Raw genomic sequence first — 16,921 nt, forward strand, 5'->3', positions numbered from 1 at the left:
GATTCTTTTGTCTTAGATTCAAAGAATTACTTTCTAATTACCAAAGTTATAGTGGATATTGATGGGATATTGCACCAGGACAAAGTGGGAAGATTATAAGGGCTGAAAGAGAAAAAAGAAAGGGTAAAAACGAGATATGTAGGTATAATGAAAAAAAAAAAAGTAATGTGTTAAGAAAGGAGATGATGAAAGAAGGAAGAGAAATGAATGAAACATGTAATGAAGAAATAGTATATTTGTTTTCTGAATTTGTTGTTTAACTTATATAAAAATCTCAAGATTTTATTTTAGTGGGGTGAGAAATTTTTTATCTTGATGTTTTAAAAGTATTTCACAAATAGTTTTTTTCTGTCATTGCCCCAAGGTTTTTTTTATTTTTCTTTTCTTGTTAGTTGATTTTATATTTCTTTTTTACTTTTGTATTTCTTTTCTTGTTAGTTGATTAGGGTTGAGTAAAATAAATTTTTATGTTAAAAATTTGTTTGTTAAGTGAATCAAAAGTGGATTCATTCTCTTATTTATTGTCTCAATGTTTGAGGAACACCAAGGACATAGTCTGTTTTCCCAGAAGAAATTAAATAAAAACTATATTTAGTCATGTATACTTACCTGAGATTTGTCATTTTAATTTTTATTCTTTAAGGAGCTGATGCTACACACATGGATGGTGATCAGATTGTTGTGGAAATACAAGAAGCAGTTTTTGTTTCTAATATTGTGGATTCTGACATAACTGTGCATAACTTTGTTCCTGATGACCCAGACTCAGTTGTAATCCAAGATGTTGTTGAAGATGTTGTCATAGAGGAGGATGTTCAGTGCTCAGATATCTTAGAAGAGGCAGATGTATCTGAAAATGTCATCATTCCTGAGCAAGTGCTGGACTCAGATGTAACTGAAGAAGTTTCTTTACCACACTGCACAGTCCCAGATGATGTTTTAGCTTCTGACATTACTTCAACCTCAATGTCTATGCCAGAACATGTTTTAACGAGTGAATCCATGCATGTGTGTGACATTGGACATGTTGAACATATGGTGCATGATAGTGTAGTGGAAGCAGAAATCATTACTGATCCTCTGACGAGTGACATAGTTTCAGAAGAAGTATTGGTAGCAGACTGTGCCCCTGAAGCAGTCATAGATGCCAGCGGGATCTCAGTGGACCAGCAAGATAATGACAAAGCCAGCTGTGAGGACTACCTAATGATTTCGTGTAAGTCATGGGGTACAGTGATTTTAAGCAATGTTTTTGAAACCTGTGTTTTCTAACATAAATAATGGTGAAATTTTATTGAGTTTAACTTCTGTAAAGTTAAAGTAGAAATGATAAACCTACATGCATTGTTGCTTAGTTTGCATCCCAGAAGATAAACCGTAATTAAGTGACATGGTGCAGAAGAGAGTTATTTCTATATTAGGATAGAACATAAGGATGAAAGAATAAGAAATGAAAATAACAGAATTGAGTCTTATGAAATCATACAAAGTATGATTGGTCTGTTACTCACCTTCAGATTTATCCCTGAGACTTGTAATCAGTTTTTTTAAAGTCTTTTTATTATGTAGTCATTTCACTTTCCCCTTTTTTTCTACCTTATTGTCCGTTTTCTCTTTAAGTAATGATTTTTTGTTGTTGTTTAATTCATTACTGGCTTTGGAGTTAAATCTAGTGAATTCTCTGAAATACAGTGGTCTCACCAAGACCATCAACCACTAATTTATTTAGGTTTGAAATTGATTTCAAATTTTACATTGTACTAGTTTTATGTTTTGCTCACTAATCCTCATGGGATGCTGGCTTTGTTGATTGTGTTTATAACTTTGTCAACCAGAACATGACTGGACATACTTTTGCTTATGCAGCAGCTGCTGTAGTCATTCTGTTACTAAAATCCCTGACTCTGTGTCTCTAATATTTTTAACTTCAATATCTAGGTATATTTTCTACGTTAATATGGTTACAACTTACGGAATCATTGTGTCATTTACCTGCTGATTTAAATAATTTAGTTATCCTAATTGACCAGTTCATTACTACGGTCTTTGGAATGAAGTTTTATAGTGTAGATTTAGTTTAGAGCATTCCCATTAATATTAAATACCGCCTACACTCCTCTTCCTGTGTCTTTGAGCATAGCACAGCAAAAGAGTTGTGCAGGCATTTTCGTGGGCACAGGGAGAGTAGGCATTTACCTCTTATATGATCAAGTGTACCATTATGGCCTAGTTTTCTGATAATGATAATTTTCTACCTCCCTCTGAACCTGCTTAATGATTTTAAACAGCCTCATTCAACTGATTTAATAAACATTTATTTCTGTGTGTAAAAACTTATTCTATGAAGTGTTTAAATATTTAAGATTAATAATTTACAGTTTTTGACCTTCGGTTTATAACCTGGTGTGCCCAAAAAAAGGGGGAGTAAGGTGGTGTTTAGCTCTTTGAAAATGTAATAATAAATATTTTTATATGCTGAATTTATCTAGCTATTTCAATTTTTTTTTTGCTAGCTCTTGTTTCTTCCAGAAGAAATATCTACTCTCATGCTGCATTTGTAATTAAAAATCCTGTAGGGCTGAGGGTAAGGGGACATATTTAGGGTTGACAGGTTTTTCTTAAAGTATATAAAGGAAGTACGGTCTGATTTTATATTAATATAGAGAATACTGAGAATACTGTCATTGACAGTAAGCTTTAATGCTTTCCATAATGTTATGAGAGTTGGTAATATCTTTTACATTCTTTAATATAGTTATTTAATACATAGATTAAAGGTTTTAAAACATTGTTTAAGTACACTTTACAATCTAAAATATGTTACTGGATTTAAGAGCTTATTTCTGTCTTTAGTAGCAGGTTTTTCTCCTCTGAATATCTCATTTAAAATGATGAGAGAGTCCTCTATGGTATCACAGTAGTATATCTGCACAAAAGTGCTCACTGTTACACCCTAAGTGCTATTGAGATCAACATGACCTCTTTATATACTCTTTACAGTATAGATGTTACTATTGGCTTTTAAGTTGATTATATCATCTTTAAGGACAGGTCCCCCTCAAACCTGTGCATATTTGGTATAAAATATTTGTTGAGTGAACACTTAGGTGAACTTTATAGCTGAACGTTTGTGCATATCATGTCTCATCCAAAGGGCATCTAGTTAGTTGTTTTAGCAATCTACCTGGTGTTTCTAATAAATTATGACTTTGGTCATAGTGAACATTCAGTGATTAAATGAATAAATGAAGCCCAATCCTCATATCTAAAGCAGAAAGCCTATGGATCAATACAGTTTGATGATTTGTTTAATGATTCTAGTGGCTATTAGAGCAGAATAGGGCTGGTAAAGTAGTTGTTTATTGTAATTATTTTATATTTTTTGTATATACACATTGCATATATTAATTTTGCTTATCCTTCTGTTCTATAACTCATTATTAGACGTATATATCTAAATATATATATATATGTTTTAAGCTACCTACTAGTTTTGCTTTGTTTTGTAAAACCATTTGGCAAAATGGTACCAAATGCAAGAATTTTAAAAATGTATATCTACAAGGGATGATTTCTGAAAAGTGAATAAAGATATTTTAGGGAGATAGGTTGTTTTAAGTTTTGATAAATTTCTGAAACGTGTTTTTTCATAAGACTTTCAAAAACTAATGATTTTTATGTAGGAACTCTAAAATGTATTTAGAAAATCTTAAAGCACATGCGCAGTGTTTCAAAGGAGATAAGCTAATCAAAGGAGATAGAAATCAAACGGTTGGAATTTAGGAAAGAAGCTGAACAGAGAAATAACATTATCAAGGTAAAAGAGACTATAAAAGCAGCAATTAAAATAAATGTGGATTAGTATTAATATGACTGGAGACCTTCTGATTGGGCTTTAGAAAATTGCCAAAATGAAATGATGAAAAAACAGACGTAAAAATGATTATGGACAAGATTAGCAGACATGAGAAACAGAAGGCAAACTTAGATACAGAAAAGAAGAAAACAATTAATATGACAGAAAGTTATGGAAGAAAGCTTTCCTGAAATTAGGAATGATTAGAGTACAGCAATGAAAATGGCAGAGTAAAGAACACTGAAAAACTTCTCTTTTATAAAAATAATGAGAACAATGGTTAAAAAATTATCAGAGTAACATTTTTCAGCACTCTGAAAACTAAATGATTGTAGCAATAGAGGGGGTACTGGATATTGGTGAGATTGTGCCCTTTTAATTTGCTGTTTACATCCACTCCTCCCAAGCTGTACGTTAGCCTTAAAAACTGACATCTGACAAATATAAAAAAAGGAGCAGTCACGGAAGATAACAGCAGCTCATGCCTGTAATCCTAGTGGTTTGGGAGGCTTGGCCAGGAGGATCACTTGGGGCCAGGAGTTTGAGACCATCCTGGTCAACATAGTGAGACCCTATCTCTAAAAAAGTTAAAAAATTATGTGAGCATGGTGGTATGCACCTGTAGTCCCAACTACTTGAGGCTGAGGTGGGAGTATCCTTTGAACTCAGGAGATCACGATTGCAGTGAGTTATGATTATGCTACTGCACTTCAACCAAGAGCAACACTCTGACTCAAAAATTTTTTTTTCTTTTAAACAGTAGTCTGGCAGTTACTGGAGGAGGAAGAAAGGCCCATTTTTAGAGAACTGATATTATTTGACCTGTTGGTGGTGACCTGCAAGACCCACCCTTTTTTTTTTTTTTTTTTTGAGACAGAGTCTTGCCCTTTTACCCAGGCTGGACCCCAGTGCTGTGATCTCAGCTCACCGCAGCTGCCAACTCCTGGGTTCAAGCGATTCTTGTGCCTCAGCCTCCTGAGTAGCTGGGACTACAGGTGCTGCGCCACCACAGCCCAGCTAATTTTTTTTTAATTTTTTTTTAATTTTTGGTAGAGATGGGGTTTCTCCATGTTGGCCTGTCTGGTCTCTAACTCCTAGCCCCAAGTGATATACCCACCTTGGCCTCCCAAAGTGTTGGAATTACAGGTGTAAGCCACTGCACCCAAGACCTCACTTAGACTATTGACTTAGACTCTGAACTTCTGTAGTATGATCAGCCTTCTCCTTTGGGTTGTTGGTTGAAAATTGTAGAGACAGCTGTTGAACATACTGGTTTTTAAGGCAATTGATACAGTTAGGGCAAACAATAGATACACTAAAGCTTAAAAGGAAAGAAAAGTCCAGTAGTGGAATGAAGAGTCCAGAGGGCTTTGAAAAACTGGGACATATTCCTGATAATCTTGAATGTGATAATGCCAGGTCTGTGGCCCTGCTAAGGAAAGGCTTGGCAAGGCCTTAGGCTCACACTTCGGGTAATCTTCAAGGGCTGCCCAAATAAATAAAAGCCAGTGTAGAACTATAAACAGCCTGAATGAATATTTCAACATGCATGTGGAGCCAAAAACTGCTGGTTCTACACATCTCTGTCAAGTCATAAGCTGAATATGTATTTTATGTAATTAGATAGACTTTTAAATTGCTGCATATGACAAAACACACACACACTTTATAGGATTAGTTTAGGAAAGTCACAGTACTGTTGTTTACTAAGCAACAGTAACCAATCATAACACACATTAGGAAAATGAAGAATCTGATTTTCACAGTTGCCAAATTATATTATTTTAAATGTTCAGTTTTCAACAACAACAAAAAATGAGACAGGCACAAAACCAAAAAAAAAGTACAGCCTATACGCAAGAAAAAGCACAGCCAACAGAAATTCATTCTAAGGAAGTCCAGACACAGTAACTAGAGTAGCTTATAAATCAGTTATATTACATTGTTCAAAGGCCTAATTAGGAAGTCATGTGTGAAGAAATAAAGGAAAGTAGGAGAATGATGTCTCATTAAGTGGAGAATATCAATAATCAGAAATTAAAAAGAACTAAATAGAATCTGGGGTGGAAAATTATGACAACTGAAATGAAGATTTCACCAGATGAACTCAAAAGTAGATTTAAACAGGCAGAAGAAAGAATCAGCAAACTTGTAGGAACTTCAATTAAGATTATCTCGTCTGAAGAGAAAGAAAAATAAGACAAATTAATATAGTCTTATATAATCTATGGAACGCCATGAAGTAAGCATACCAAGATATACTGTACCAGGAGTGAGAGGGAAGAAAGAAATTGGCTTAAAGAATAGTTTAATAATAGCTGAAAACTTCACAAATTTGATGAAAAACTGTAATCTTCACTTGTAAGAAGTTGCGTGAATTACAAGGGATCCATGTTTAGACACAAGACATTTTATGTTGTCAAAAGACAGATACATTTTTTAAAGCAGTAAGGTAGAAGTCACTTCTCACATACAAGTCCTCCCTCCTTCCCTCCCTCCCTCCCTTTTCTCCTTTCTTCCTTTCCTTCTCTTCCATCCATCCTTTTTTTTTTTTTTTGAGATGGAGTCTTTCTCTGTCGCCCGGGCTGTAATGCAGTGGTATGACTTCGGCTCACTGATGTTGTACAGCCATTGTGACAAAGTTTGGCAATTCCTGGAAAAGTTAAATTTACATAGGATTACCATATGACCCAGCAGCTCTCTTCTGGATATACCCAAGAGAACTGAAAACATATGTCCACAAAACAGTTTATATATTGTACAAATGTTCATAGCATCATTATTCATAGTAGCCAAAGAGTAGCAACAACTTTAATATCTATCAGTTGAATTGATAAAATGTGGTATATCTGTCTAATGAAATATTATTTGATCATAAAAAGTAATGAAGCACTGATGAATGCCATAGCATGGATGAACTTTGAAAACATTGTGTCAAAGTGCAAGAAGTGGGTGCAGTATCTAGAATAGGTATGTATGTAAAGTCAAAAAGTATATTGTTGCCTAGTGTTCGTGGATAGTGTTGTGTGGAATAGGGAGTAGTAGCTAAATGGTACAGCGATTTCTTGTGAGGGTGATAGAAATTTTCTGCAATTAGTGGTGTTGCTTGCACAGCTCTGTGAATTTGCACAGCTGTCTGAAAACCCACTGGTTTGTATGCTTTACATACTATGCAATAGTAACTCATATTATGTGAATTTCCTCTCAGTGCCAAAAAAAAAAAATTGGAATCTTTTAAGGCAATTCATTTTCTGCTAAGAAATTGAGAGACGAATAAAACTTTTTTTTTTTTTTTTGAGATGGAGTCTTGCTCCATCACCCAGGCTGGAGTGCAGTGGCTCAATCTCGGCTCGCTGTAACCTCCGCCTCCTGGGTTCAAGAAATTATCCTGTCTCAGCCTCGCGAGTAGCTGGGACTACAGGTGCCTGCCACCATGCTTGGCTAATGTTTGTATTTTCAGTAGAGATGGGGTTTCACCTTGTTGGTCAGGCTGGTCTTGAACTCCTGACCTCAGGTGATCTACCCACCTCGGCCTCCCAAAGTGCTGGGATGACAGGCATTAGCCACCACACCCAGTAAAAACTATTAATAATCATCATTATATTAATGAACTTAAGGATCAAGAATTATATAGTCACCCACATCAAAATACTCAATGCTATACACAGTGCAACAAAGCCTAAAGTTTCTGAGGAAAGTATAGCTTAAGAATTTTATACCCAGACAAATTATTCAAGTCAAAATTACAGGTAGACATTTTCAAACATCCAGGATTTCAGAAATTTTAACACCCATGTGTGATGGAGTTGCTGCTTGGTACCATAAACCAAAAGATGAATTAGTAGAAAAAGACTCAAGAATGGAGAACTGATAAAATAATGAGTAGTGATTTTTGAATTAATTTAATGTAAAATTGGAGTAAACATTTATACAAATTAAGGTTATGTAACATGGTAAATGTCTACAAAATATTAACGAAAATATTTGCCGTGGCATGATGTGCAAATATGTTCATGTTTTCACTTTTTTTTTTTTTTTTTTTGAGACGGAGTCTTGCTCTGTCACCCAGGCGGGAGTGCAGTGGCAGGATCTCAGCTCACTGCAAGCTCCGCCTGCTGGGTTCACGCCATTCTCCTGCCTCAGAATCCCAAGTAGCTGAGACTACAGGTGCCTGCCACCATGCCTGGGTAGTCTCTTTTTTGTATTTTTAGTAGAGACGGGTTTCACCGTGTTAGCCAGGACGGTCTCAATCTCCTGACCTCATGAACCGCCCGCCTCTGCCTCCCAAAGTGCTGGGATTACAGGTGTGAGCCACTGTGCCCGGTTGTTTTCATCTTTTATAGCAGGTGACAGTAGATAATATCTTTACAATATGATTCCTACCTATTATTTTTATCGTATTTTTCTTAGAGTATTTTAAAATCTTCTCTTGAATTAATAGACATTTAATTGATCATCATTCATATAACAAATTGAATGTTAGATAGTTACTAAGGCTAGACAGTATTGTCAAGTCTTGAGATACATCAGTGCACAAAATAGAGATTCCTTTCTCTCATCATTGTGGACTTGTAGTATGGCTGTACCTGTATCAAATTATTTAAATGTATATTAGAATGTGTCTTGGGAAAGTAGAAGAGTTTAATCAAAATGATTGTGAGTTTCAGAGATGGTCAAGGATGCCTTGCTGGAAGGATGACAGTTTGTCATAGACTTCAGTTTGAGTTGTATCATAAACTTCAAAAAGGAAATGCATGTATTAATCTTAGTAGAGAGGACAGTGACAGTTTGCATCAAATGCAGCAACTTAGGCAAGTCAGATGAGGACTCAGAATTGGTCATGTATGTCTTTGGTGAACAGATTCAGTGAAATCATGGACAAAAGCTTGATGGAAGTATTAAATAAGTTTAGAGAAAGAATGTGCAATGAGAATCACTGGAGATATGAAACAGTTGCTTGCAGGAGAAGTGGGATCAAGAGGAGATGGAATTTTTGTTTGTTTTAGTGTTGTTTCAAGAGAAAAAGCTTATTTGTTTCCTGATGGGAGTGTTCCTTTACTGGGTGATAGATAAATTGATGGTTTAAGGGATAACTGCAAAAAAACAGAAAAGAGAAGGTATAATTTAGTGCTTATGTGGAGGTATTGTTTTTAAGTGGAAAGGAACACTGCTTGTCTGTGGCAGTGTGCAGGAAATACAAAGTTTGTGAATTAGTTGTTGACAGTAGGACAGATGTGGCAGACAGCAGATCATCTTTTCTGTTTTGGGTTCTTCGTAAGGTGGGAAATAAGATCAACAGGCAGGCAGTATTGGAATTTTAAGAAAAATATGGCAAATAGCATCTACTCAAGATTCATATTGTATATTTAAAGATGATGCTATCTACATCATGCTTTTTTTTTCTATCTAGACTTAGCTGCATAGATGTAGATGCTGACATAAATTATATCAGGCAGGTTTGTGGTTTTGCCAGCCAAGTATTATGAAATCAGTCAGGGGCATAGGAGTTGAAAAAATATGCAAGAGAACAGTTAGAATGACCAGCCATGGAATTAAGCTGTTTTACTTGTTCAAATTGCTATAAAATTTTTGTTTAAAAGTAACATTTCAATTTTAATTTTAAACTTGTATTTGTCCTTTCTGTTCTTTTACTTATATATATGCATTGAGAAATATCTGAATAATATTATTGTAAATTCTATTCATATTTCAGATGGTTTGTTTTTGAGCACTCTTTAATTTTTAAGTAGTTTCTTAAATATTAAAGTGGATCATCTCAAGAAAAAGCTATCTTTTAGGGCAAAGTTGAAGAAGCATAAGGGAATAAATAATAAAATAGTATTGTTTAAATTTGGGGCCCATGAGATATTGAGGACAATAATACTGTAAAGACCAAAGGAGTTTGGGCAGATTTTGGTTGCTAGACTGTGCAATTTGTATTTTACTTGGTAGGAAAAGGAGTGCTAGAGACTAGGGCTGGAGGGTAAAGTAACTGGATCTTTCTTTTAAGAAGACAGAAAATTGATACCAATTTTCTTGATACCATTGATACCAATGTCAGGGTGTTTGGTTGGAAACCTTAGGAGAGAGAAATCAGGTAAACTGTTTGTTTCTGAGGTTGGTGGTAAATGAACTTTAACAACCTGGTTTTGAAAGATGAGACAATTTGAGTGGAGAGGCACAAGCCATGTTCTTGCATTGTAAGACTGCAAAGCAAAAGAATAGCAACGTTTTTATGATATTAATTTAGACAAAATGCAGTCCAGTGGAAATCCAACATCCAATTTTTTTTGTCAGCAAAACTGTAATTCTTTTTCTGAGGAAAACAAAGAGAAGTGAGATAACATGACTAGCTAAAAATTAAGCTGTGAATTATAAAGACAGACATCCTTCTCATTTCCTCACCTCTCCCTTTCGTAGCTGATTGGCTTGTGTTATTACAGCAGGTTTTACTAGCATTATTGGAATCTTTAACTCCCTAGCTTGTTTCATGCCCTTCCAATTACCTCTCCAGCTTTTACTACTTAGGTTAATTTGTGAATTCTTTCTTGCCCCTGCCTTAAATTGTAATCTCACTGGGACTGTGATTTTCTTTACACTCATGATTTCTTTACAGCTCATGATTTTCTTTACACTGCAGTTTGCTGATGGCTTCCAAATTGGTGTTGATCTTCAGCTTTCAGAGTTGAATATTCTGTAGGTGGCTTCATATGTCATTCATTCCGTCTTCTCAGTTTATTCTTAAATATGACCCAACTCCAGCCTTTATCCCAATTTATACTACCTCTGTCCTGATTCAAGGCTTCATTATCTGTCACCTAAATGTACTTGAAGCTGTAGTGCCCTGCTTCATTTCTTGATCTCTTCAAATCTGCTTTTTTATAAGGCCAGCAGGATGCTTTGGCAAAAATACTGATCTTAGTGACTGGTCTTTTTAAAAGCAGAAATTATCAGATCTCTGATAAGAATCCCCAAGAGTAGGATACCTTGAAGTCTATTTTGTATACAAGTTCATTCCATACCTGCAGATCTGGTTTTAATCAGATTGAGAAACTTGCAGTCTACCAGAATTAAGTTTGAGCCCCTCTGCCTGGTGCATAAAGTCCTCCATGACCTGGTTTTGCTTTACCTGTAGTTCACATTTCCCACTATGGCCTAATTTGCAGCAGTATTGAAGAACACACTCTCTTACTGTCCTGTCCCCCTACCTGCTGTATCCTTTGCATAGAATAAGTGCCATTCTCTTCCAGTCTACATAACGTACCTTCACTTTTTTTTGTGGCAGCTGTTATTGCACTTTGCAACATTTGCCAAAACGTTTCTGACTCCCCAGCCTGTTTTATAGTAACACTCATATGGACACCTTGAAAATTTATAAAATATTATTTCATTGGATGAGAAAATGAATCAATTTTAATAAAAATAATTTACACCAATGTTAACATTAAAGATTGCACTAGAGTTCAAAATTAGTATATTTTTATGTTTAAAGAAATTTTAGGCCAAGTGCAGTGGCCTGAGCCTGTAATCCCAGCACTTTGGGAGACTGAGGCAAGTGGATCACTTGAGGTCGGGAAGTTCAAGACCAGCCTGGCTAATATGGCAAAACCCCATCTCTACTAAAAATGCAAAAATTAACAATGCTTGATGGCAATGCCTGTAATCGCAGCTATTTGGGAGGCAGAGGCAGGAGAGTCACTTGAACTTGGGAGTTGCCGTGAGCTGAGATAGCGCCAGTGCACTCCAGCCTGAGTAACTGAGACTCCTATCTCAAAAAAAAAAAAAAAAAAAAGAGAGATTTTAACTTTTTCTTCTAAGTAATCTTTTAAATTTACTTTAAGGAATCAGGTAGTGTCTAAGTGACATTTTGTTTTGAAGACAAGTGTATATTAAAATGTGATTTGCCAATGTTACTGTATCCAAAATAGACAAAAAAACTCTTTTCCCCATTGTTTTGGGTTCTTACATCTTGTGTTTAAGTAGTTAAGTTTTAGTTGCTTTTAGTAGCCCAGTGTTTCAAGTTCTCATATTGTAGGTTAAGTAGTTAGATTTTATAATATCCGTGTTTGTAACAAGGAGATGCTATTTGAAAGTAGTCCATAATTTCTAGTAAGAAACTAAATTATATCGTCATTGTATTTTTGTTTTTTTTATGTTGGCTTTAGATAATTTTGATTAGACAAATATAGTTTTGGATCTTTTGAAGAACAAGACGGGGAATTTGAAAAGTATGCAGAGATTTCAAAATCTAAATTCTGTGTTTATAAGCCACTGCTGAAAGTTAAGACTAAGAATTTAAAACCTAAAATAGTCAAAACTATTACCATTGCCTTTTGTAAGTAATGCTTATTGTAGTTGAGTTGTGAATACATTTATCTGCTCTACACTAATGAAAAACATCTTTTGTTATACTGTTCTTTATTTCTTACAAAAAATTATTATTGCCTCTAACAATTTAAACTTAACAGCATTCTTCAAACACCAGAGGTTGATGGTGGTTTCTTGTGAATTACATGGATCAAGATTTGAATTCTGGTTTTGCCAGTTACTAGATGTGTGACCTTAGATAAATCATTCAAGTTTTCTAAACTTCAGTTTGCTTTACTGTAAAATGTCGACAGTATTATAGCACTTCCTCATGGAGTTATGAGTATTAAGTAATGCTTTCAGTAATCACTTAATAAAAAGTAACTACATTATTATGATCACATTTTAAAATAATCATCTGTTCACCTGTCTGCTTTTTCACTGAATTACAAATTTCTTGGGTCCATTACTTTTTTTTTTTTTTTTTGGAGACAGCCTTTCTCTGTTGCCCATGTTTGCGTGCAGTGGTGAGATCTTAGCTCACTGCAACCTCTGCCTCCTGGGTTTAAACGATTCTTGTGCCTCGGACTCCCAAGAAGCTGGGATTACAGGCATGTGTCATTATGCCCAGCTAATTTTTGTATTTTCAGTAGAAAACATGTTTTGCCATGTTGGCCAGGCTGGCCTCAAGCAATCCACTCACGTCCACCTCCCAAAGCCCTGGGATTACAGGTGTGAGTCACCACGCCTGGCCTTGGGTCAGTTTCTTTTAAAGTTTGCACCTCTAATACTTGCCCAGAGTCTGATTGATAGTTGTGAATCATTGTTTAATTGACTTAAACATAAACATTTAGCCAAAAGGATAATGAAATATATTCAGCAGAGGATTACAAAAACAAAACTAAAATGGGAAAGGGGAAATGAAAAAACTTCTTGGGGTCCTCCTCCTCTGTGGTTGGTCTCTTGCTGTGTCATACTGACCAGGTGGGCCCAGAACAGAGAGAACATTACTTAGTGTTTCTCTAATGGACCAAACATTGAAAAATCCAATTTTTGTGATAAATTAAATTGTACTATGTGCTATGTGTTCATTAGTCTGTGCCACACTTTCTGTTATGCTAAAGATAGTAGTCAGTGCCCACAGTGGTGTGTAGTGTAAGGTTACATTATATGGGGGTTGTATTTTTGGTATTTACTGCAATCCAGAATGTATTTTTTAAGACATTATTTTTTACTTTTGTTAATTTTGAAGTCCCAAGCATAACACCACACTTGATTCCCTTACCGTGTAACACTTAAAAGTTTGTTGTAGATTCCCTGAGCCCACTGTTGGAAATCATATGTTCACTTTATCGGTAAGTAAGGATTCTTTTTTTTTTTTTTAATACATAAACATGAAACAGGCTGCCTTAAGTATTTAAGAAGATACTTAAGTATACATCTTACTGTATTTGCCAGCAGTAGACCCAGACTCATTAGAACTCATATATATGTTTTGTGTGTGTGGTTTTTTTTAAAAATGCATGTGTGTGTAGTGTTAGGTTTGAACAGGTTAATATCAGAATTTACAACTATTTATTTATTTATTTATTTATTTATTTATTTATTGAGACAGTTTCACTCTGTCATCCAGACTGGAGTACAGTGGTGCAATCTTGACTCACTGCAACCTCTGCCTCCCGGGTTCAAGTGATTTTCCTGCCTCAGCCTCCTGAGTAGCTGGTACTACAGGCTCCTGCCACCATGCCCAACTCATTTTTTTGCATTTTTAGTGGAGACAGAGGTTTCACTATGTTGGCCAGGCTGGTCTCAAACTCCTGACCTCAGGTGATCCGCTGCATCGGCCTCCCAAAGTGCTGGGATTACAGACATGTGCCACCATGGCCAGCCAGAATTTATGTTTCTGACAACCATATTTTGATTTTTAAAAAGTTTATGATTCTCATAGAACAGATAAGACAATTGTATTCAGAAGTACTGAATGTTAGGTAATGCTCATAAAATATATTAGGACTAGTGTGTACTGAATTTACTAGTAGGACATTATTTTTCAGATCTTCAAGAACATTGGTAAGCTGGATGCAGTGGCTCAAGCTTGTAATCCCAGCATTTTGTGAGGCTGAGGTGGGAGGATTGCTTGAGCCCAAGAGTTGGAGATAAGCTAGAGAAAACCAGTGAGACCTTGTCTGTACAAAGAAATAAAAAAATTAGCTGAGCATGGTGGCATACGCCTTTTGTCCCAGCTACTCAAGTAGGCTGAGACAGGAGGATTGTTTGAGTTCTGGAGGTCAAAGGTGCAGTGAACTATAATTGTGCCACTGTACTCTAGCCTGAATGACAGAAAAAGAAAAGACCCCATCTCAAAAAATAAAACAGAATACTTGTAATATTGTATGCTTTTACTTTATGATAAACAAAGATGACATATGTCCTTTCATTAGTTTTCTTAAGTTTTAAAGAATCTGCTGTTATGGTTGATGATATATTTTCTGCCTTTTCAGTGGATGATGCTGGCAAAATAGAACATGATGGTTCCACTGGAGTGACCATCGATGCAGAATCAGAAATGGATCCTTGTAAAGTGGATAGCACTTGTCCTGAAGTCATCAAGGTGTACATTTTTAAAGCTGACCCTGGAGAAGATGACTTAGGTAAGAGGAAGCTGTCAGCATTTTATACATTGTCATCCAAATGTTTCAACCAAATGGTGTCAAAAAAAGTAAACAGGTTACTTTTTTTCATTGATACTTAACATTTAGTTTAGGTTATTTAGATTGGAAAATTTGAACTCTTTTCCAAAGACAACTTTTAAGACATATTTTTGAGTTAGTAATATAAAAATACACTAAAACGTGTAAGCAAAATATGTGAAAATGAACTCTCAAATAATTTTTGGAGCTTTCATATTCTCTGATAGGTGGAACTGTAGACATTGTGGAGAGTGAACCTGAAAATGATCATGGAGTTGAACTACTTGATCAGAACAGCAGTATTCGTGTTCCCAGGGAAAAGATGGTTTATATGACTGTCAATGACTCTCAACAAGAAGATGAAGATTTAAGTATGTGGCTTTTTAAAAAAAAATTTTTACTTTAAGTTCTGGGGTACATGTGCTGAATGTGCAGATTTGTTACATAGATATACATGTGCCATGGTGGTTTGCTGCACCTATCAACCCATCATCTAGGCTTTTAAGCCCCCCATCCATTAGGTATTTGTCCTAATGCTCTCTCTCCCCTTGCACCCCACCCCACAGTGGGCCCCAGTGTGTGATGTTCCCCTCCGTGTGTCCATGTGTCCTCATTGTTCAGCTCCCACTTACGAGTGAGAACATGTGACGTTTGGTTTTCTGTTCTTGTGTTAGTTTGCTGAGGATGATGGTTTCCAGCTTCATCCATGTCCCTGCAAAGGACATGAGCTTATTCTTTTTTATGGCTGCATAGTATTCCATGATGTATATGTGCCAGTATGTGGCTTTTTTTGTGGGAGAGGGTTTTATGTTTCTACAAGGTGTGTTTTTTTTTTTTTTTTGAGACAGAGTCTTATTCTGTTGCCAGGCTGGATGGAGTGCAGTGGAGCAATCTCCGCTCACTGCAGCTTCCACCTCCTGGGTTCAAGCAGTTCTCCTGCCTCAGCCTCCCAAGTAGCTGAGACTACAGGCACGTGCCACCACACCCAGCTAATTTTTGTATTTTTAGTAGAGATGAGGGTTTCACCATGTTGGCCAGGATGGTCTCGATCTCTTGACCTCGTGATCCGCCCACCTTGGTCTCCCAAAGTGCTGGGATTACAGGCGTGAGCCACTGTGCCCTGCCCAAGCTGTCGTCTTTTTTTTTAATGTAACCAATATTTGAAAAAAAATAAGCAGCGCTGTTGTAGAGATTACTGTGTTGCCGTATTCCAAGAATAGATATCAGTGACTATGTATGTTTTGATAGTTGCTTTATAAACTAATTATGGTGAAAGCCAAGAAACGAATAATTCAACCAATGTTTATTTTTTCCTACTAATGAATTTTTTCTGTGTGATCTCTGTAAACCTAGTCACAAAAAATTTTTTATTTATTTTGTGCTTAGATGTTGCTGAAATTGCTGATGAAGTTTATATGGAAGTGATCGTAGGAGAGGAGGATGCTGCTGTTGCAGCAGCAGCAGCTGCTGTGCATGAGCAGCAAATTGATGAGGATGAAATGAAAACCTTCGTACCAATTGCATGGGCAGCAGCTTATGGTAACTTACATAGAAGCCAGAAGGATTGAGTAGTTTTTGAACATTAATTCACTGTTGAAAGTGGTTTCTGTTGGCCAGGCGTGGTGGCTCATGTCTGTAATCCCAGCACTTTGGGAGGCTGAGGCAGGCGGATCACGAGGTCAGGAGATTGAGACCATCCTGGCTAACATGGTGAAACCCTGTCTCTACTAAAAAATATTTTTAAAAAATTAGCCAGACGTGGTGGCAGGCACCTGTAATCCCAGCTACTGAGGAGGCTGAGGCAGGAGAATGGCGTGAACCTGGGAGGTGGAGCTTGCAGTGAGCTGAGATTGCGCCACTGCACTCCAGCCTGGGCAGCAGAGCAAGACTCCATCTCAAAAAAAAAAAAAAAAAAAAAAAAAAAAAAAAAAAAAAGGGTTTTTTTTAGGGTTTCATGATTTAAGCAAAAGTAGAGGAGGATTAAATAGTCTCCCTGTTGCCTTTAATTTTAACATGAACTTCTTTTATTATGTAAGAAGTGTGGGAGCTTTCAGTCTAACATTTTAAA

The 16,921-nt window shown here is 36.1% G+C and overlaps 1 protein-coding gene and 1 long non-coding RNA gene across 15 annotated transcripts in view; one reads left to right on the plus strand and one right to left on the minus strand.

Annotated features, from left to right (window-relative positions):
• The window catches only part of ZFY (zinc finger protein Y-linked), a 47,126-nt gene that overhangs the window by 25,050 nt on the left and 5,155 nt on the right, over window positions 1-16,921 (plus strand). For 7 of the 14 annotated variants that reach the window (NM_003411.4, NM_001369703.1, XM_017030075.2 and 4 more), the window contains 4 exons: window positions 644-1,216; window positions 14,665-14,814; window positions 15,081-15,224; window positions 16,240-16,392. In NM_003411.4, coding sequence (NP_003402.2) covers window positions 644-1,216; window positions 14,665-14,814; window positions 15,081-15,224; window positions 16,240-16,392 — 1,020 coding nt within the window. The remainder of the gene's footprint in view (window positions 1-643; window positions 1,217-14,664; window positions 14,815-15,080; window positions 15,225-16,239; window positions 16,393-16,921) is intronic. The other 7 variants (NM_001369706.1, NM_001145275.2, NM_001369707.1 and 4 more) reach the window with 3 other exon arrangements.
• ZFY-AS1 (ZFY antisense RNA 1) overlaps window positions 6,389-16,921 on the minus strand; it is a 35,808-nt gene continuing 25,275 nt past the window's right edge. Inside the window, exon 3 of the long non-coding RNA NR_144458.1 lies at window positions 6,389-6,509. This is a non-coding gene — a long non-coding RNA (ZFY antisense RNA 1). The remainder of the gene's footprint in view (window positions 6,510-16,921) is intronic.

Source organism: Homo sapiens, chromosome Y (genome assembly GCF_000001405.40).
Source record: "Homo sapiens chromosome Y, GRCh38.p14 Primary Assembly".
In the NCBI taxonomy this organism is placed as follows: Eukaryota; Metazoa; Chordata; class Mammalia; order Primates; family Hominidae; genus Homo; species Homo sapiens.